This window comes from Homo sapiens, chromosome 13, assembly GCF_000001405.40.
Source record: "Homo sapiens chromosome 13, GRCh38.p14 Primary Assembly".
Lineage (NCBI taxonomy): Eukaryota > Metazoa > Chordata > Mammalia > Primates > Hominidae > Homo > Homo sapiens.
Window position 1 is genome coordinate 24,928,437 of NC_000013.11, and position 21,197 is coordinate 24,949,633.

The following is a 21,197-nucleotide window of genomic DNA, read 5'->3' on the forward strand; positions in this document are numbered from 1 at the left end:
TTCTTATTTTTGAGACGGAGTTTCACTCTTGTTGCCCAGGCTGGTGTCCAGTGGCGTGATCTTGGCTCACTGCAGCCTCCACCTCCCGAGTTCAAGTGATTCTCCTGCCTCAGCCTCCTGAGTAGCTAGGACTACAGGCACACACCACTATGCCTGGCTAATTTTGTATTTTTAGTAGAGATAGGATTTCTCCATGTTGGTCAGGCTGGTCTCGAATTCCTGACCTCAGGTGATCTGCCCACCTCGGCCTCCCAAAGTGCTGGGATTACATGCGTGAGCCACCACACCTGGCCAGTAAAGAAGATTCTAACAACAATGTTGGGTGCAAAGAGACTTTTTTTAATCTTGGCATTTTGATATAGTTAAATCTATTGCTGGTGTATTGGACTTACAACAAAAGATCCTGGAAACCTAATGGGTCTGTACAACAAAGGGATGATCACATCCACTATATTCTAGAATGCCTGACCAATGATGTTGAATAGACTGTAAAGGATTTCTAGCTTGAATCTTTGATGTGATAACTGCAGAGCAATACCATAATAGTTTTCACACCTGTATTTTTGCTTTCTTTAAAAATAACAACAATTACATAGTAGTTTGATGGTTTTTCAAGCATTCTGTAGGTTTTTATTACACATTTTTTTTAGATGGGGTGACTCTATCACCTGGGCTGGAGGGCAGTGGCATAATCACAACTCACTGTAGCCTCAACCTCCAGGGCTCAAGTGTTCCTCCTGCCTCAGCCTCCCAGGAAGCTGGGACCACAGGCATGTGCCACCACATCCAGCTAATTTTTGTTTTTTGTAGAGATGGGGTTTTGCCATGTTGCCTAGGCTGTTCTTGAACTCCTGAGCTCAAGCAATCCACCTGCCTCAGCTTCCCAAAGTGTTGGGATTACAGGAATGAGTTACTGCGCCTGTCATCTCCATCATTTCTACAGGATAGTTTTGACAGATACAGAATTCATGGTTGCCAGTTTGTTTGTTTTCTTTCAGCACTTTATATCATCCCACTGCCTTCTGGCCTCCATGGTAATAAATTGGCTGTTAATCTTATGGAAGGTCCTTTGTATGTACTGATAATTTCTCTCAAGCTGCTTTTAAGCTTCTCTGTCTTTGGCTTTCAACAGTTTGATTATAATATAATGCTATTGTGAACTCTTTGAGTTTATCATACTTGAAGTTCATTGAGCTTATTAGAAGTGTTACATTATGTCTTTTATCAAATTGGGACTTTGGGGCCACTGTTTCTTCAGTCACTCTTCCTGCCCTTTTTACCCTCTTATTTCTTTCTGGGACTCCCATCATGCATATGCTGGTACACTTGATGGTGTCCACAAATCTTTTGGACTTTGTTCTTCATTCTTTTACTTTCTGCTCCTTAGACTTAATAATTTCAATTGTTTTCAAGTTTGCTCATTCCTTCTTTAACCTGCTCAAATCTGTTGAGCGTCACTTGTGAATTTTTTTTTTTTTTTTTTTTTTTTAATGAGACAAGGTGTTGCTCTGTTACCCAGGCTAGAGTGCAGGAGTGCAATCATAGCTCACTACAGCTGTGAACTCCTGGGCTCAAGTGATCCTCCTGCCTTAGCCTCCTGAGTAGCTACAGCCACAGACATGCACCACCATGCCCAGTTAATTTTTTAATTTTTTTGTAAAGATGGGGTCTCGCTATGTTGCCAAGGCAAACTCTTAGCCTCAAGTGATCCTCCCGCCTTGGCCTCCCAAGATGGTAGGTTTACAGGCATGAGCCATCATGCTTCATGCTATTGTACTTTTTAACTATACAATTTTTTTGGTTCTTTTCAGTTCCATAATTTCTGTTTGGTTCCTTTTATAATTTCTATCTATTAATAATCTTTATTTTTTTAAATAATTTCAAATTTTATTTTAGATTCAGAGGGTACATGTGCAGGTTTGTTACCTAGGTATAATTTGTGTTGCTGAGGTTTGGGGTATGACTGATCCCCTCACCCAGATACTGAGCATTGTACCAATAGTTTTTTCAACCCTTGCCCTTTTCCCTCCCTCCCTGTCTAGTAGTCCCCAGTGTCTATTGTTGCCATCTTTATGGTCCATGAGTACCCAGAGTTTAGCTCCCATTTACAAATTTGAACATGCAGTATTTGGTTTTTCTGTTCCTTTATTAATTCGCTTAGAACAATGGCCTCCAGTTGCATCCATGTTGCTGCAAAGGACATGATTTCATTCTTTTTATGGCTTCATAGTATCCCATGGTGCATATGTACCACATTTTCTTTATCCAATCCATTGTTGATGGGCACCTGAGTTGATTCCATGTCTTTGCTATTGTGAATAGTGCTGTGATGAACATACTAGTGCATGTGTCTTTTTGGTAGAATGAGTTCTTTTCTTTTGGATGTGTACCCAGTAATGGGATAGCTGGGTCGAATGGCAGTTCTGTTTTCAGCTCTTTGAGAAATCTCCAAACTGCTTTCCACAGTGGTTGAGCTAATTTACATCCCCACCAACAGTGTATAAGCATTTCCTTTTCTCTGCACCCTTGCCAGCATATGTTGTTCCTTGACTTTTTAATAATAACTGTTCTGATGGTATCTCATTGCAGTTTTGATTTGCACTTCTCTGATGATTAGTGATGTTGAGCTTTTTTCATGTTTGTTGACCATTTGATTATTCTTTTGCATATTCCCTATTTGTTTTTGAGACCTTGTTCTCCTGGTTGTTTCTTTCCGATCTTTTTCTATGTTTCTTTTCACTTTTTGTTCATGTTTAAGACAGGTCATTTAAAGTATTTCTCTTATAATTCCTGTATCTGCACTTCCTCGGCTCAGGGACAGTTTCTGTTCATTTACTTTTTCCTTTGATTTGGCCATTTTTTCATGTTTCTTTTTTTTTTTTTTGCATGCCTCATAATTTTTTGTTGAAGATTGGACATTTTGAGCATTATAATGTGGTAACTCTGGAAACCAGAGTCTCTCTCCTCCCCCAAAATCTCTTGTTGTTTCTTAGACAACACTATAGAGTAGGTTGTAATTATGAAACTTGGTAAATTACGGTGTCCCCAATCCCCTTGGTAATAAATTGTGGAGTCAGGATTCAAAGCCATACCTTTTCCACTGTATTCTCTACTCTATCCTTTCTATTCTCATTTTATTCAGTACCCTAAAAATCTGGATCTTCCCCATTGCTTTATTCCCATTTCAGTGAATCTCAGATCTGTATCTCCAGCCCTCGCCTCTCTTGAGTGGCAGATAAATGTATTTCTAACTAGTTACAAAAATATATTTCTAACTAGTTACAAACACTATCACGAATTTCAAACTCAGGAAGTCTTAAAGTAAATTTATTATCTCACTCTCCTGTTTCCACGAACTTTCCCGAAATTTTCTTCTTTCCCGCCCTTGCGAATCCCTTGCATTTCTCAGTTAAAGGACAGCACCATCCACCCACCTCTCCCAAAGCCGAGCTTTGGATTTATCCTCATTGGCTAAATCCCTCCTGAAACATGAAACTGAAACAAAGCCCTGAACCCCCTCAGGCTGAAAAGACAAACCCCGCCTGAGGCCGGGTCCCGCTCCCCACCTGGAGGGACCCAATTCTGGGCGCCTTCTGGCGACGGTCCCTGCTAGGGACGCTGCGCTCTCCGAGTGCGAGTTTTCGCCAAACTGATAAAGCACGCAGAACCGCAATCCCCAAACTAACACTGAACCCGGACCCGCGATCCCCAAACTGACAAGGGACCCGGAACAGCGACCCCCAAACCGACACGGGACTCGGGAACCGCTATCTCCAAAGGGCAGCTTTCTTTGAGGGAGGCTGTTAGACGTGACTCCTTGTTTCTAAAAATGGACAAATACCAGCCTGGGCAACATGACAAAAACCCATTTCTAGTAAAAATAGAAAAAAATTAGCCAGGCATGGTGGTGGGCGCCTGTAATCCCAGCTACGCTGGAGGCTGAGGCAGGAGAATCACTTGAACCGGGAGGCGGAGGTTGCAACCAGCTGAGATCACACCACTGTACTCCAGCCTGGGTGTCAGAGTGAGACTCCATCTCCCTCCCAAAAACACCCAAATGCAGAATATATATGTGTATATACACATATACATATTCCATTTAAACATAGTTGTATATTTTTATTACCAATTGTTCGGTTTTTCTCCAGAATGTCTTAACAGAAACCCACATAATGAGTCTTTTTGAATGCATAGAATTATATACAAAAACCCATGTTTCACTATCACATAATGTTAATTTTTAATTTAGAAATAAATGCTTCTATGTTCTTGAGTCACACAATCTGTAACTAAAATCTGTCATGTTTTTATTAAGATGTATATTATAAGCCTGTACAAAGGGATTTTGGGTGTTGTAATATCAGCCACAAAAGCTAGAAATCATTCTTAAACCAACACACATGTTGCAAGCTATGATATTCAATTTTTACAATGTGTTCAATTTACAACATGATTACAATGTTTCTTAAGGTAATGCCTAATTTTTCCAGTTTGTATGTATAACAATTCTAAATTCACTGTCATATTGACTTAAGAGAGGGTCCTTAAAAACTTTGTTTCCTACAGGATGGTGATGGGAATCTTTGCAAATTGTATCTTCTGTTTGAAAGTGAAGTACTTACCTCGGCAGCAGAAGAAAAAGCTACAAACTGACATTAAGGAAAATGGCGGAAAGTTTTCCTTTTCATTAAATCCTCAGGTATTTCCAAATGTCATAAACTACAGTGTGATAAAACATCGCGCATTCAGGGAACAACAGGGTCATGGTTAGAAGAGGAAACAGAGATTAGCAGCAGGAGAGAGTGAGCTACTGGAAGCTCATCAGGAGAGACTGTGACTTGGCCGGTTGGGAGGCTGGGCCCCCAGAGGCAGAGGAGGACCAGCCCTGTTCTCTCCCTGTTCCCTGAACCGCAGGACAATTCCACATGTCCAGTGAGGCAGGATATTACTAGAGCACAGCCAAATATGAAAATAGAATTTCAGACCAGTCAAATCTATTCTTGAAGGAAAAAAGTCATAGTGCACAGGATTTGCAAAAAGCGCACTGTCGTCACTCACCAGTGTGTCAACGCTGGGGTGATATACTGGTAAGCCAGGTTCCTGGGGGCAAAAAGAAAGATATGTAGTGCAGACTCATCTTCGCAGTGTAGCTTGTGCTGTTTGTTTTGTTCATTTAAAGACTGCAGGAAGCTACATTCCATCTTTTGAATTGAACTTGTAGGCCTGGCAGTTCAGATAACAGGATTTCACAACTGGATGAAATCTTGGAAACAGTTAAGTCTAACCTCTTCTTCTTTTTTTTTTTTTAGATGGAGTCTCACTCTGTTGCCCAGGCTGGAGTGCAGTGGTGCGATCTCAGCTCACTGCAACTTCCGCCTCCTGAGTTCAAGCAATTCTCCTGCCTCAGCCTCCTGAGTGGCTGGGATTATAGGTGCCTGCCACCACGCCTGGCTAATTTTTGTACTTTTAGTAGAGACAGGATTTTTGCCATGTTGGCCAGGCTGGTCTTAAACTCCTGACCTCATGTCATCCGCCTGTCTCGGCCTCCCAAAGGGCCGGGAATACAGGCATGAACCACCGTGCCTGGCCCCCTCCTCTTTTTTTAAACCACCTCGTTGTAAGAAGTAAAAATAGAAATCCAAAGGCTCTAGGTTCCAGGCTGGCCTGCCCCTGTCCTCTCCTGTTCCCTCTGTTGATGAATTGATGGGCTGACTCAGCCTGCCCCTCCCTGGACCTCAGCCCTGGGACTTGGCCATAGTGAGCCTCATCTGTGAAGCGTGTTCAACTCCAGCTGAATACCAGAAATGCAATGTCCCTGTTTACTTCCAATTCAGGTAGAATTGTATATACTTCCCTTATACAGCTTCCCACACTGAGCTGTCTCACCATCTCTGTGGACAGATGAGTAATTCGTGCCCGCTCTCCCTTCTCAGTTTGTCTTCTGTGTGGAGAACTGCCAACATGGTCTCTCCTTTTTAGAAACTCACATACTGTAAGTGCAACCTTTTGGAAGTCAGTGTACATAAACATGTGAAATGTGCATCCCAGCTACTGTAGATAATGAGGCAGCTCTACATGTAATCACGAGGAAAAATCGCCAAGATAAATTCAGTGGACAAACCAGCACGGAAGAGGCTGAGGAGCACGCTGCCATATGTCTACACATAGTGTAGCTCTAGCAGAATTCGTGAGGAGCAAGTGACAGCAGGTGCCTCTGCAGAAAGGAACTGGGGACAACAGTGGGGAAGAAGTTAACATGTCATTATTTTATTTTTTAGATATTCTACAATGTGAATTTACTATTTATTAAAAACTAAATAAAATTGTAAGCTGGGGATAGTGGCTCATGCCTGTAAACCAGCACTTTGGGAGGCTGAGGTGGAAGACTCACTTGAGGCCAGGAGTTCAAGACCAGCCTGGTCAACATAGCAAGAACCCATATCTACAAAAAAACCCCAAAATTTTTAAAAATTATGAATTAAAATAAATAATGAATAACCTTTGAACCTCCCTTTCCACTACTAAGAAAATAATTGAACAAGTGCACAAGGATGTGTACATGAGGATAGTCATCACAGCGTTGTTTATAATAATGAAAATTTAGAAATAACCTCTAGGGTTAATCAATTATAGTGCATTCGTAGCCATATCCTTTAAAAACAGTTGATTTTTTAAATGTTTATGTAACTAGAAACTGTTATTTATAGAAGTCTTAGAAATTTGAGAAAGATTATCACAAACTACCTTAAGACTTTTTAAGGATGAAAATTATAGATACAAATAACTTATTTAAATGTTGTTTTTCCTGAGGCATAATGGATTGACTTTTTTTCCTTAGTGCACACATGTAATTAAATATTTTTCATTTCCTGTTTATTGCATATTTGAAACTTTGTTCTATATTTTCTATTTCAGGATGTACGTAACATTGATGCGAGAGCACATTATATGGGGGTGTAGGCACAAGATTTTCTTGCTAGTGGAATGTGAACCAAAAAGTGTAGAGGCCACTGGGCTAAAGGAGGCCGGCTCAATCAGTGAAAATATTCAAAGCCAGTTTTGTTGTTTTCAGCAGTTAGTAACTATCAGTAGATGAATATTTACTAGGAAACATTGGTCTTTTAACCACTTTGGGCATGCTTCTTATTTAGTATGTTCATTCTATCATGACATTCAGTGAACATTTATTGAGTGCCTACTGTGCACTAGGGACTAGTAAGCATGTTAAGTTTGTAAGCTTTGTTAATTTCCACCACAAACCCATAGGACCTCGTTATTCTCATAATTGAGGAAACTGAGATTCCCAGTGTTGAATGAAAGCCACACAGTATCACATGGCCAATATCATGTGATTGCAGAGTCAGGACTCAAACCCAGCTCTTAACCACCACGCTATACTGACGGCCCTTTCCCAGTTCACAGGGAAAAATCAGGAACAGGGAGAGAATTTTCAAAATATTAAGTTTCCCCATAGAATTTTCTGAAGAACTTTGGTGTATGTTGCCACTTGTTCACTAACAAGTTCTAGCAGATGACAGAACAATGAGGAAGTAGCTAATTAATATTAATGAACAACCTCAGAATTTTTCTGAGTGTTGAATAGACTTGAATATTCAACAGTCTCAAATATTTGACACCATTTAGTGGACACAGACTTGACTCGATATGCTTATTCTACCAAGTTGTTCCTGGTTTACGTGACACAACTGAATGTATGCCAGTTTCATGGGGGACTCTCAGATATTCTGAAGGTACCTAATCAAGTCAGTATAGTGGGAAGGAGAGAGAAACAGAAGCCTCATTTGTGAAATAGTACTTGAGTTTGTGCGTGAAGAATGGATAGGATTTAGACTGAGAAGCGTGGAAAGGGGACAACCATAAACAACTGTAGAGAGGCTGGAACGTGAGCTGTGCTGCAGGCAGCAGGGATGCCTGGAGGCACGTGGAAGCCAGGAGGTGGCGGGCACAGGGCACTTGACAATGCAGTGCATAAGCTCGAGGTGAGACGGGCAGAAGAACTTCCGTAAGATGCCAAGGAAAACTGCTTTTATTAAATATCTTAATTTTTGGCAGAATCATTTTGTCTGATATAATGTGATGGGTTTAGTACCACATTACATTTCACATGTTATATTCTGAAATCTGAAACTTTTTTTTTTTAATCTAGGAATATTCCCTGGGCTTTTGAGGCAATAAAGCAAGCAAGTGAATGGGTAAGAAGAACTGAAGGACAGTACCCATCTATCTGCCCACGGCTTGAACTGGGGAACGACTGGGACTCTGCCACCAAGCAGTTGCTGGGACTCCAGCCCATAAGCACTGTGTCCCCTCTTCATAGAGTCCTCCATTACAGTCAAGGCTAAGTCAAATGAAACTGAATTTTAAACTTTTTGCATGCTTCTATGTAGAAAATAATCAAATGATAATAGATACTTATAATGAAACTTCATTAAGGTTTTATTCAGTGTAGCAATTAGTGTCTTCAAAAATAAAGTAAGTGGAAGCAGAATTACTTTAATCAACTAACAAGCAATAATAAAATGAAACAAAATATTTGTTTTCTGTGTCTCATTTTTTTGTTGTATTTTTTATATTTTTTATATTTTGAGACAAACTTTTGCTCTTGTTGCCCAGACTGGAGTGCAATGACATGATCTCACCTCACTGCAATCTCCGCCTCCTGGGTGCAAGCAATTCTCCTCCCTCAGCCTCCCGAGTAGCTGGGATTACAGGCGCCTGCCACCATGCCCTGCTAATTTTTTTGTATTTTTAGTAGAGATGGGATTTTACCAGGTTGCCCAGGCTGTTCTTGAACTCCTGACCTCAGGTGATCCACCCGCCTCAGCCTCCCAAATTGCTGGGATTACAGGCATGAACCACTGCACCTGGCCTGTTGTTGTTGTTTTAGAGATGGTCTCAATCTGTCTCCCAGGCTGGAGTGTGGTGGTGCGATCATACCTCACTGCAGCCTCAAACTCCTGGGCTCAAGGGATAGTCCCGCCTCAGCCTCCCAATTAATTGAGACTACAGGCATGTGCCACCACACCCAGCTAATTTTGGGGTATACTTTTTGTAGAGATGGGGTCTTGCTATGCTGCCTAGGCTGGTCTTGAGTTCCTGGCCTCAAGTGATCCTCTCACCTCAGCCTCTGAATGTGTTGGGATTACGGGTGTGAGCCTCTGCACCCAGCCGGTGTTTCAGAGCTTTATGGTGATGAGGCATGCTTCTGGATAGTCCTGGGAGCCTGTGTCCTTCTCACATTCAGGAGTCCAGTGGAAAGCTGGCTCAGCTGGACTGAGCAAGCTGAGAAGAAACATGGTCTTTTGTAGGGGATCTGTCAGGGTTGTGGGAGAAATTATAAAAATTAAGATGTAGGAAATAGACACAAAACTTCTTGGAAGGCTGGGAGGTTTGCGTAGCTTCAGTAAAAGTTTTGGCTGAAGACAGCTGAACTCTCTTAAAAGCTTAGGGCATAGATACATAGGAATGTAGAGGATTTTATCTAAATAGCTTGTTTACTCATGTGGTCCTAAGACCTTTGATCATTTGCAGGTGCATGACTGCTCTCTACTCCGGAGGTCAGCGATGTTAATTACCCTCTAGTCGTATTTACTTGAGACCTTTGTCATTAAATCTGTACTGAATAAATGCCTGGAGCCCCAGCCTGTCAGGGCTGTGGCTGCTGACTCTTTACAGCACCCTCCTTGGTGTCTGGGAGCTGCCGGTCCCCTAGCCTGCTGTTTCATGGGATACCTGTGTCTGAGTGCATTTCTTCACCCGTCATGTGGCCAGGGTCTGCAGGTTGGACCTGGCAAGTTACTGACACAGTTTGAAAATTATACAGGATTGGTTGTTGAGTTGGATATTTTAGTCAACATTTATTAAGCCCATGCCTCAGCAGTAGTTGACTTTTGTCTAAAGGGAAAGAAAGAAATTCTAGTTTTCCCAAACATCTAAGGCTCCAAACAAAACATACTGAATCAAGATTTCCAGAAGAAAGTCCTGACAACTTGGATATTTAATAGGTGCTCCAGGTTATCAAGCACATTAGAATACAATGGCCCAGGTGCTGTATCTCAAAGTGTGAGTCTGTGAACTGGCATTGTCTGCCTCACTCGAGAACTCATCAAGACAGGCAGAATCTCTGGTCCTGTTTGAGACTATTGAATCAGAAGCTGCATTTTTATTTAGCAAGGCCCCCAGGCGACTCCTGTGCACGATTATAGTTGAAGGGCTAGTGGACTGTGGTGACAGGAACATATTTGGTGCTTGTGCAGGGCCTTGTTCTAAGAACCCATGATGCTTGTGCACAGTGGAGCATCCCATCAGTCCAATTGTTGGGAGAAAAGCTGAGGCAACACTTGCTATCTGACATAATATAAAGAGTCTTGGAACATGTCCTGGGTCCAGAGTTTAAAACCTCTTGTGGCCTGTGCAACACCAGCCTCTGTGCTTAAGGGTGGAAGGCTGCCCCGCTGCACTACAACCTAAGCCCAGGGCATAAAACCCCTCATGGCTTGGATGGAATCCACGACTCAGGACATAAAACCCCTCGTGGCCTCTGGAATGTGCCCAGACTTGCTGGCTCCTTGCTTCTTGCTCTCCCAGGATCATAAATTGATTGTATCTTGAGTTATAAGGACATATTCAACATTATCTCGAGTAGCAGAACATGTTCCATATGCTTCAAAGGAAATGCTAAACCGACACAGCTATAAATTAAACACTTGATGCGACCACTTCCTTTTGACCAGCACATCCTCACCCCCTGCTTCTTTGTTTTATCACCAATAAATAGTGTGGGCTCCCAGAGCTCAGGGCCTTCACAGCCCTGAGTGCCCTGGACCCACTTTATGTACTATTGTCTTGTCTCATTCCTTTGACTCTGCCGGACTTTGTAGCCCCCATGGCATGGTGTTGGGGCTATTTGTGACTGCCTTTGTTTTATAATATTTTTATTATTCACCTTGTACAGATGAAGACTCCCAGCTGTAGAGGCAAAGGGGCCAAACTGCAGGTAGAGCAGGCATTCCCCAAGGTGTTTGTGATCCCGGGGTACAGCTCCCACCCTTGGCTGCCTGGATGCTTCTTTCCAGACCAACTGTATCTCAAAGACATCCCCTTAGGCACCCAGCACAGGCTGCTGTCTCAATTTAGAACTGAGCCTGTTCAGTTGATGGCTCAGCACAGGCCTCTAAAAAAGCAAGCCTGATGTGGGTTAGTACATCTGTGGTTGGCTTACTTATTTGGTGTTCATTTTTTCAGTTTTCAGAAAGGTCACTTGAAGTGCTGCTGGTGGCTGTAGCATTGATACACAGTGGAGGTTTTTGATCTGTGAGCTTTTTAGGGGACAATTGCTAAGCCGCACTGATACCTTGAGCCCATTTCCTTTGGAACAACGTAGAGCCCAGTTCATGGCTCCCAGAAGTTTAGGTTCAGTAATTTGGCTGCAGGCCTAGACAATGGGAGGCTGCAGACTTGGACTAATGGTGAACTCTTGCCTCCCCCCAGGGATATGTGGTGCCTGTCATAAGCTCCAGAGAGCTGCCTTCCATGAGACCAGCAGAAGAGTGGGTTCCACTATCCAGGCTGCCATTGACCTCATGGTGGCGGCTGCAGGTACAGTCCTGTGTCTCATAACCATGCTTCTGTTGGTGATGGATGGTTTATCTGATAGTGGTCCCATGAGATTATACCATCTTTTACTATACCTTTTCTGTGTTTATATACATTTAGATACACAAATACCACTGTGTTACAGTTGCCTACAGTATCCAGTACAGTAACATGCTGTACAGGTGTGTAGACTTCAGCAACAGGCCATACCGTACAGCCTAGGTGTGGAGTAGGCTATGCCATCTAGGGTCGGGTGTGTGTGTTCTATGATAGCACAGTGATGAAATTGTGTAATGACACATTTTTCAGAACATGTCCCAGTCATTAAGAAATGCCTACGTATAATCCCAGAGAAAACCCAGTCTTCTCTATTACTCAAGTACCTTCTAAATGAGATCAAATGAAAGTGGTATGAAAACATTACCTTTCTCCCTCCAGAAGCGATGGGCATTACCTTTGGGATGAATCCATTTGATGGAAGTGAAGTATTGTTCAGAGTGTGGCAGAAGATAGAGGAGTGTCCATTATTGCTAACACCTTGTGAGTCAGGGTGAGAGGAGGAATGTGCCCAGTACAGCTGGAAAACAGCTCAGAGGTGAAGCCCCTTGTCCACTGTCACCTGGCTGGGATAGGCAGGTGACGTGGTTCTTCACTTCAAGCCTGGCAGTCTTCAGAGCCCTTGTAGTGCAAAAATAACACCGTAGCATCTCCCAGGAAACACCACTTACTGTCCCTGCCAGTGTTGGGAAAGAAAGGAGGACACTCTTTAGAAGTGTCTTTTACAATGAGACTGATAATGGACTGTGTCTCAGAGCCATGAAAGGAAAGGAGAAGTTGTAGGATTTCCTGGGAATGTCAGCTAACTTGAGCCTAGGGGCCTGAGCCCAAGGGCAGACTGAGGCTCCCCCGGCACAGGGAGGTGCTGCCTGTGACAAGGGGGTAGTGCTGGCACAGTGCAGGCTACTCCCTAGAAAGATCAGCTTGAACATGCAGGAAGAGCAGGACCCTTGGGCTGAGGCACAGGTAGAATGGGAAGTTCATGGTAGTAATTTAGTTCTCCAGAGGCCAGAAGTAGGAGGAGAGGTTGGAAGGCTGATTGCCCAAAGGGAAACCCTGGACTACCCTGGCGTCCCACAGGACTCTCATAGTACTTGCGGCTCCCTGCAGTGGGGAGGCCAGAAGGAGTGTTGCCCAATGCTGTCCTCATCCAGTCCACCCCCACCCACCACCAACGGGTGGGTATGGTCATGAGTGTGGTCACCTCATCAGTCATTTGCTCAGCTGTGAAAAAGAAATTGTTCAGAGAAGAGCAAAGTGTTTTTCCATGAGCCAAAGGTCGGCCAAGGTATGCTAATGAGGAGGACTGGAGACAGCGCATCACAGACACTGATAAGGAGCACTGGGCAAGGGCACTTCTCCCAGGGCAGAGCCCACAAGGAGCGTCCTGGCACCAGATGCTCAGGGAACTGAAGGCTGGCAGGGGCCTGCCCAGTAGTCTCTCGCCCACCGCATGCCTTTAGGCTACAGCCTCCCAGGCCCCGGGCCCCCTCCCCTCCCCCGTGCCACACTGGGGAAGATGCTGACCCTGAGAATGGTGCAACCATCTGCCTGCCCCTGGCCACCTCTCACCAGCACGTGAATGCTCTTGGGCTCAGTTCTGTATCTGCAGTAGGAGGGTGTTTATCCACGTGACAGAGTCTCACCATTTGACATTTTATGTCTTTCAGTCTGTCAAAGATCTAGAACATATTGTGATAGAATTAAAAAGTTTACTTTTGGCTGGGCAAGGTTGCTCAAGCCTGTAATCTCAGCACTTTGGAAGGCCGAGGCAGGTGGACCACTTGAGGTCAGGAGTTCAAGACCAGCCTGGCCAATATGGTGAAACCTCGTCTCTACTAAAAATACAAAAATTAGCCAGATGTGGTGGTACATGCCTGTAATCCCAGTTACTCGGGAGGCTGAGGCAGGAGAATTGCTCGAACGCAGAAGGCAGAGGTTGAAGTGAGCAAAGATTGTGCCACTACACTCCAGCCTGGGTGACAGAGTGAGAATCCACCTAAAAAAAAAAAAAAAAAAAAAAAAAAGAGTTTACCTTTTCCTATTTATGCGCATACAGGTATTTGGGTACCACGTTTGTAATTTACAGTTAGTTTGAAAGATAGAAATTGAAACAGTATGGTTGGGAGCCTGGTATGTAAGCCGTTTGCTGGTGGGCGTGTGTGTATTGGGCCCTTGTATGTACGATCTCTGTGATCCCATCATTACTGTTCATTTCTTCCAGGAGAGGAATGACACACTTCTCCCTTTAATTGCCAAATTATCTCCAATTCTGAATCAGTGGAATATAATTTAATATGATTTTACTATGATTAATTCAGGGTCATTCTCTCCCAGGTGCTGCTGGGCTAGGATAAAATGAGATCTGAATTACATTAAAATAATTAAGTATTCCAAGAGAAGAGGTGACAGAATGGTTTAAGTGGCTGCGTAGTTTAGATAACCTAGATGCAGATAAGCTGAATAAAGCATTTAATCCAGCACATTCGTATTTTAACTTGATCATCAGCAATGGGAGTTTGAAACCCGATTGCAGCTGCATGTCCCACACAACTGAATTTTGTTCCTTGCGCACAGCAGTGTTTTCTGGAGGTGCCTGGAGGTCTGAAGGTGTCCCCTTTTATAGGCAGGAATTCCACCAGGATGGGTATAGCTTGTTTTTTTAAAAGGCTTGGGACTGGATACGATTGCCCAAGAAGACAGAAAAATTAGCAAACTTTATTCCAGTAAGAAAGTTTGGGATGTACTGCTTCAGTCCCTGTCCTAAGGAAATTATCAAGCCTGGAGGGTGGGGTGCTATCAACTGCCTGCCAACATGTTACCTTCTGACATCCAGAAGCTTCCCTGTGCCAGATGGAGCCACCAATGTGGGGAGGAGAGCACAAAGAGCAGAGAATCCACAGAAACCATACCTGCAGGGAGCAAACACCATCACACTCCACTTAATGCAAATGCATTTACCTATTCTTACCATCTCCCTCAGCATGTTGAATCTATTCTGGGGTTAGACAAGCTCCCAGACTTATCTGCTATGTTTAATAAAAACAATTTTGGCTTTTAATGGTAAAGGAAGAATCGGGGCTATTAAAATACTTAAGAGTGAGAAAGTTGAAAAAAGATGTAGATTGCGTTTGGCCTGTCTTCCCCCCACCGTAAAGGGTTGCCACTCAGCTGGAGGCCTGCTGGTTCGTGTGGGCCAGCCCTCCACACCTCAGTGACCAAATGAAATACAACCCTCACTAGAGCTTCTTGTACTTGGCAAGACCCAGGGGTAGACCTGGGCTACCAAACAAAACCTTGTGTTCTTAGAGCCTGGGAACAACAGCTTTGACAGTTTCCACAAAGAACTCTTCCGCAGCATTAGCATTTTTATTTTCACCTACCTGCAGCCATTACTACATTGAACTCTGGGAATGTCACGTCAGCTGTTCTTGAGATAAAATACCATTTGCTATTTTTTTTTCTCTAGGCCCTGTCCCTTTGATGTTAAGTGGTGGAGGGAGTTGGCGGGATTTGCCTCTGGCTTGCGGTATATCCAGTGGATTGTATCAAATAAAGAATTCAAGTTCTTTCCATGTCTGGAAAACAGGCAGGATTTATCAGAACCTTTATAAATGTTGTGAAAAATGAAGGTGAGTAAACACCTGTTTTTCCAGCATCTAGTATACATCTTAAAATCTGAGATATGAACTTCTCTGTTTTGATTGTAAAAAGAAAGAGAACAGTAACACAGAAACTTTGTGTCCCAAATAGAGCACAGATACCTTGTCTATTACTCATAGTAATCCTCCCTTAAATTTGTATAACGTGAAGTTTTACAAAGTACTTATACCTCCCTTATCTAATTCAATCTTCATGACCACCCTGGGCAGTACTAATACTATAAACCAGTCTCCAACCTCAAGGTTGGTGCTCTTGCCACTGCCCAGGTGAAGCTGCAAAGCTGTGGCCACCTCTGTCTCCATGGTTGCCTCTGTCTGGCTGTCTCAGGCCTCAACTCTGCCCCATCCATATACTAAGAGTTAACCAAGCATGGAATTGGGGTATGTTACCTGAGCATCAGTCAGTTTCACCAGGAGACCTGATACTTGTTCTTGTTTCTGTTGGTCTATTTAGGGAAAGCTGGGAACGCATCCATCCATGACTTGTTGGTTTTTAGCACTCTTGCCTGGATTTGCATGTGTAAATATACCTGTGCTATGCAGCTGCGTGGGTGTCCCCAAAGGAGGGATTGTTACAGTCTTTGATTGCCCTTTTGTCTTCTAGGAATAATGGCCTTATATTCTGGACTGAAACCTACTATGATTCGAGCATTCCCTGACAATGGAGCACTCTTTTTGGCCTACGAATATAGCAGGAATTTGATGATGAGCCAGTTGGAAGCATACTGAAGTGTCTTGGAGGGCCTGAGCCAAGCACAGGTGTTTGAGGACTACAGTTCATTTCAGGGTTTCTTGTAGTACAAGACCAGCGTGAAGTCATTCTGATTTCTTGGGAATTTTGCCTTTCTGTCTTCTCTTATACCCTATATCTTAACTTGTTTGGAAGAACCTCTATTTTACATCATGTCATTTCTGCCCATAATTGTACTGAAATAGAGAAGTCACTGCTCTTTCCCTTGGTAAAATAGAGAGTGGTCAGTAGCCTTATGCACCTAATTCAAAAGACTGAGTACAGTTCTGTCAGGGCTTTTACATAAACCTCTACTTGCACATTCAATTTGGACAGTTATGTGTTGAGGGAAATACAGTTTGGTTCCATGTTTATTTCAAATATTACCAGAAAAACCCAGAGGTGATCATTTCTCATAAAGATGCTTATAAATGGTTGCTTAACCCATTCTAGATGTAGGATCTACTTAATATGTGTACTATTCTAAGTGGTTGATTTTTTTTTTTTTAATATGGAGTCTCACTCTCTTGTCCAGTCTGGAGTGCAGTGGCGCAGTCTTGGCTCACTGCAACCTCTGCCTCCCGGGTTCAAGAAATTCTCCTGCCTCAGCCTCCCAAGTAAGTGGGATTACAGGGTTGCACTACCACACCTGGCTAATTTTTGTATTTTTAGTACAGACAGCATTTCACCATGTTGGTCAGGCTGGCCTCGAACTCCTGACCTCATGATCCACCCGCCTCAGCCTCCCAAAGTGCTGGGATTACAGGCATGAGCCACTGCACCTGGCCAAATAAAACATATTTTTAACTAATAAAAACTAAGGACAAAGAAGGGCATTCCTTATAGAATGATAAAGGGCACAATTCAACCAGAAGACTTAGCCTAAATATGTACACACCCAACACTGGAGCACCCAAATTCATAAAACAAGTTTTTCTTGGCCTACAAAAAGATTTAGACGCACAATAACAGCAGGAGACTTCAACAACCCACTGACAGCAATAGACAGATCATTGAGGCAGAAAACTAACAAACTCCGTACTTGCACTTGACAGTTGACCAATTGGACCTGATAGACATCTACAGAACACTTTGTCCAACAAACACAGAAGATACATTCTCATGTGCACAGAGAACATATTCTAAGATCAACCACGTGATTGGCCAGAAAGCAAACCTCAATAAATTCAAAAAGTTTGAAATCATACCAAGCACACACTCTGACCACAGTGAGACAAAAATAGAAATCAGTATCAAGAAGATCTCTCAAAACTACATAAGTACATGGAAATTACATAATTTGCTCCTGAATAACTCCTGGGTGAAAATCTAAATTAAGGCAGAAATAAAAAAATTCTTTGCAATTAATGAAAATGGGGACACAACATACCAGAATCTCTGGGATGAAGCTAAAGCAGTGTTAAGAGGAAAGTTTATAGCACTAAATGCCTTCATCAAGAAGTTAGAAATATCTCAAATTAACATTCCTACTTTGCACTTAAGAGAACTAGAAAAAAGAATAAACTAACTCCAAAGCTGGCAGAAGAGAAATAACTAAAATTAAAGAAGCACTGAATGAAGTGCTTTTTGAAGTGCTGTTTTTTTTTAGACTAGATGCAAAAATCCACACAAAAGATCAATGAAACCAATAATTAGTTTTTCAAAAAATAAACAAGATGGATAGACTGACAGCTGAACAAAGAAAAAAAGAGAAGAAGCAAATAAGTACAATCATAAATGACAAAGATGACATTACAAACAATCCCACAGAAATACAAAAGATCCTCAGAGAATACTACAAACAACTCTAGGCACACAAATTAGATAATCTAGAGGAAATGGATAAATTCTTGGAAACATATAATCTCCCAAGATTGAATTAGAAAGAGATTGAAACCTTAAATAGACAAATACCGAGTTCCAAAATCAAATCATTAATATAAAATCTACCAACAAGGAAAAGCCCTGGACCAGATGAAGCAACAGCTGAATTCTACCAGATGTACAAAGAACTGGTACTAGTTCTATTGAAACTATTCCAAAGAACTGAGGATGAGGGGCTCCTCCCTAACTCAGTCTATGAAGCCAGCATCAGCCTAATACCAAAATCTGGCATAGAAACACACAAAAAGAAAACTTCAGGCCAATTACTCTGATTAACATAGACACAGAAATTCTTAACCAAATACTAGGAAACAGAATCCAGCAGCACATCAGTAAGTTAATACACCACAATCAAGAAGGCTTCAGTCCAGGGATGCAAGGCTGGTTCAACATATGCAAATCAATAAATGTGATTCACCACATAAACAGAACTAAAAGCAAAAACCATATCATCATCTCAATAGATGCAGAAACAGATTTTGATAAAATCCAACATCCCTTCACATTAAAAACCTCAACAGACTAGGCATCAAGGGAACATACCTCAAAATAATAAGAGCCATCTATGACAAATTCACAGCCACCAACCTACTGAATGGGCAAAAGTTGGAAACAATTCCCATGAGAAATGGAGGAAGACAATGATGCCCACTCTCACCACTCCTATTCAACATAGCACTGGAAGTCCTACCTAGAGAACTCAGACAGGAGAAAGGAAGAATAGGCATCCAAATAGGAAAAGAAGGAGTCAAACTACCTCTCTTTGCTGATGATATGATTCTATACCCAGAAAACCAAAGACTCTGCCAAAAGGCTACTAGAACTGATAAACAACTTTAGCAAAGTTTCAGGATAAGAAACCAATGTATAAAAATCAACATCATTTCTATACACCAATAATGTCCAGGCTGAGAGTTAAATCAAGAACAGAATCCCATTTATGGTAGCGACAAAGAAAATGAAATAACTAGGAATACAGCTAACAAAGGATGTGAAAGATCCCTACAAGAACTACAAAACACTGCAGAAGGAAATCAGAGATAACACAATTAAATGGAAAAGCATTCCATGCTCATGGATTGGAAGAATCAGTATCATTCAAATGACCATACTGCCCAAAACAATTGACAGATTCAGTGCTATTTCTATCAAACTACCAATGTCATTCTTCACAGAATTAGAAAAAAGTATTCTAAAATTCATATGAAACCAAAAGAGGGCCTCAATAGCCTAAGCAAATCTAAGCAAAAGGGCAAAGCCAGAGGCTTCAAACTATAAGGCTATAGTATCCAAAACAGCATGGTACTGGCACAAAAGCAGACATATAGGCCCATGGAACAGAATAGAAAACCCAGAATAAAGCCTTACACTTACAGTCATCTGATATTGCAAGGCTGACAAAAACAAGCAATAGGGGAAGGACTCCCTATTCAATAAATGGTGTTGCGGTACTGGTTAGCAATATGCAGAATAATGATACTCGACTCATACCTTTCATCATATACAATAATTAACTGGAGATAGATTAAAGATTTAAATGTAAGACCTCAAGTGATAAAAATCCTAGAAGAAAACCTCAGAAATACCCTTCTTGACATTGGCCTTGGGAAAGAATTTTTAACTAAGTCCCCAAAAGCAATTGCAATAACAACAAAGATTGACAAGTGGGACCTAATAAAGCTAAAGTGCTTTGGCACAGCAAGAGAAATGATCGACAGAGCAAACAGATAACCCACAGAACAGGAGGAAACATTTGCAAACTATGCATTCAACAAAGGTCTAATATCCAGAATCTATAAGGAACTTACACAAATCCACATGCAGAAACCAAATAGCCCCATTAAAAATGTGGAAAGAACATGACACATACTTCTCAAAAGAAGACATACAAGTGACCAATGAGCATCTGGAAAAATGCTTCACTTCACGAATTGTCAGAGAAGTGCAAATCAAAACCATAATGAGATACCCTCTCACACTAGTCAGAATGGCTATTAATAAAAAGTCAAAAACAACAGATGCTGGCAAGGCTGCAGAGAAAAGGGAACGTTTATACATCGTTGGTGGGAGTGTAAATTAGTTCAGTCACTGTGGAAAGCAGTCTGGAGATTTCTCAAAGAACTTAAAACGAGCTACCATCTGACCCAGCAACCCCATTATTGGATATATACCCAATGGAAAAAAGACCATTCTACCAAAAGACACACACACTGATATGTTCATTGCTGTGCTATTCACAATAGTAAAGATATGGAATCAACCTAGGTGCCCATCAGTGGTGGATTGGATAAAGAAAATGTGGTACATATACACGATGGAATTCTACACAGCCATAAAAATGAATGAAATCATGTCTTTTGCAGCAACATAGATGGAGCTGGAGGTCATTATCCTAAGCAAATTAATGCAGGAACAGAAAACCAAATACCACATATTCTCACTTATGAGAGCTAAAAAACAGGTACCCTTGGACATAAGGATGGGAACAATAGACAACTGTGGACTACTAGAGGGGGATGGAGGGAGAGGGGTGCAGGTTGAAAAACTACCTATTGGGTACTATGCTCACTACCGGGGTGCAATATACTGATGTAACAAACTTGCACACATACCCCCTATATTTAAAATTAAAGCTAAAATTTTAAGACATGAGTATCACTCTGATCTAAGTTTCTTGAGTTATTCAAAGAATCATTCATTTTGCATTCTAAGAAAGCAACACCCAAAGAGGCCGTAAATGAGTTTTCTTTGAATAAGCGAAAGCAGAATAGTGTGACAACTCATAATTTCCAGAAATTTTGGTGGGTCTTGGAGGTCTGGGGAAGAGAAACCTTCATGGTAATCTCCTTATTTCAAAAAGGGACATTCTTAAAATAAAAAAGGGGGTTTCCTTCCTTCCTGTATTTCTAGTACTGAAAAAGACAGATCTTAATCTTCACTAAGCCAGCTAAGTATTTTCCTCCCTATTCACCTAAAGCCAGGACATAATCTGCCCTCTGTAGATTATTGCTGTGTGAATTTTAAAGGAAACAGTGTAACCTATGTTGTGCCTACACATTTCTGTCATATGAATGGCAGGGCGTAATATTAACATGAAAGGAATTTGAAAGCACGATCTATGATCTTTTCCTCAAAGCGGGAGCCAGGTCAGGGGGAGTAAAGGAGAAAGGCCTTAGCTGGGCTGCTGCATGGGCAGTCGGAACGTTTTTGGAATATTTAGAGGAGAAAAAATCACCTGCAGCGAGGTG

At 42.0% G+C, this 21,197-nt stretch overlaps 1 protein-coding gene and 2 pseudogenes across 3 annotated transcripts in view; 1 reads left to right on the forward strand and 2 right to left on the reverse strand.

The window, feature by feature from the left end:
* The window catches only part of CPAP (centrosome assembly and centriole elongation protein), a 51,722-nt gene extending 46,158 nt beyond the window's left edge, over positions 1 to 5,564 (reverse strand). The window contains exon 1 of the mRNA XM_047430483.1: positions 5,059 to 5,564. The gene's annotated coding sequence lies outside the window, so the exon portion shown is untranslated. The remainder of the gene's footprint in view (positions 1 to 5,058) is intronic.
* Positions 319 to 21,197, reverse strand: part of TPTE2P1 (TPTE2 pseudogene 1) — a 39,730-nt pseudogene continuing 18,851 nt past the window's right edge. Inside the window, exons 3-7 of one of the 2 annotated variants that reach the window (NR_178209.1) lie at positions 14,496 to 14,585; positions 13,551 to 13,672; positions 12,041 to 12,349; positions 9,141 to 9,334; positions 319 to 6,227 (exon numbers count right to left, since the gene is read on the reverse strand). The product of NR_178209.1 is annotated as a TPTE2 pseudogene 1, transcript variant 1 (transcript). The remainder of the gene's footprint in view (positions 6,228 to 9,140; positions 9,335 to 12,040; positions 12,350 to 13,550; positions 13,673 to 14,495; positions 14,586 to 21,197) is intronic. The other variant, NR_026730.2, reaches the window with a different exon arrangement.
* Positions 15,140 to 16,261, forward strand: SLC25A15P3 (solute carrier family 25 member 15 pseudogene 3; annotated as a pseudogene).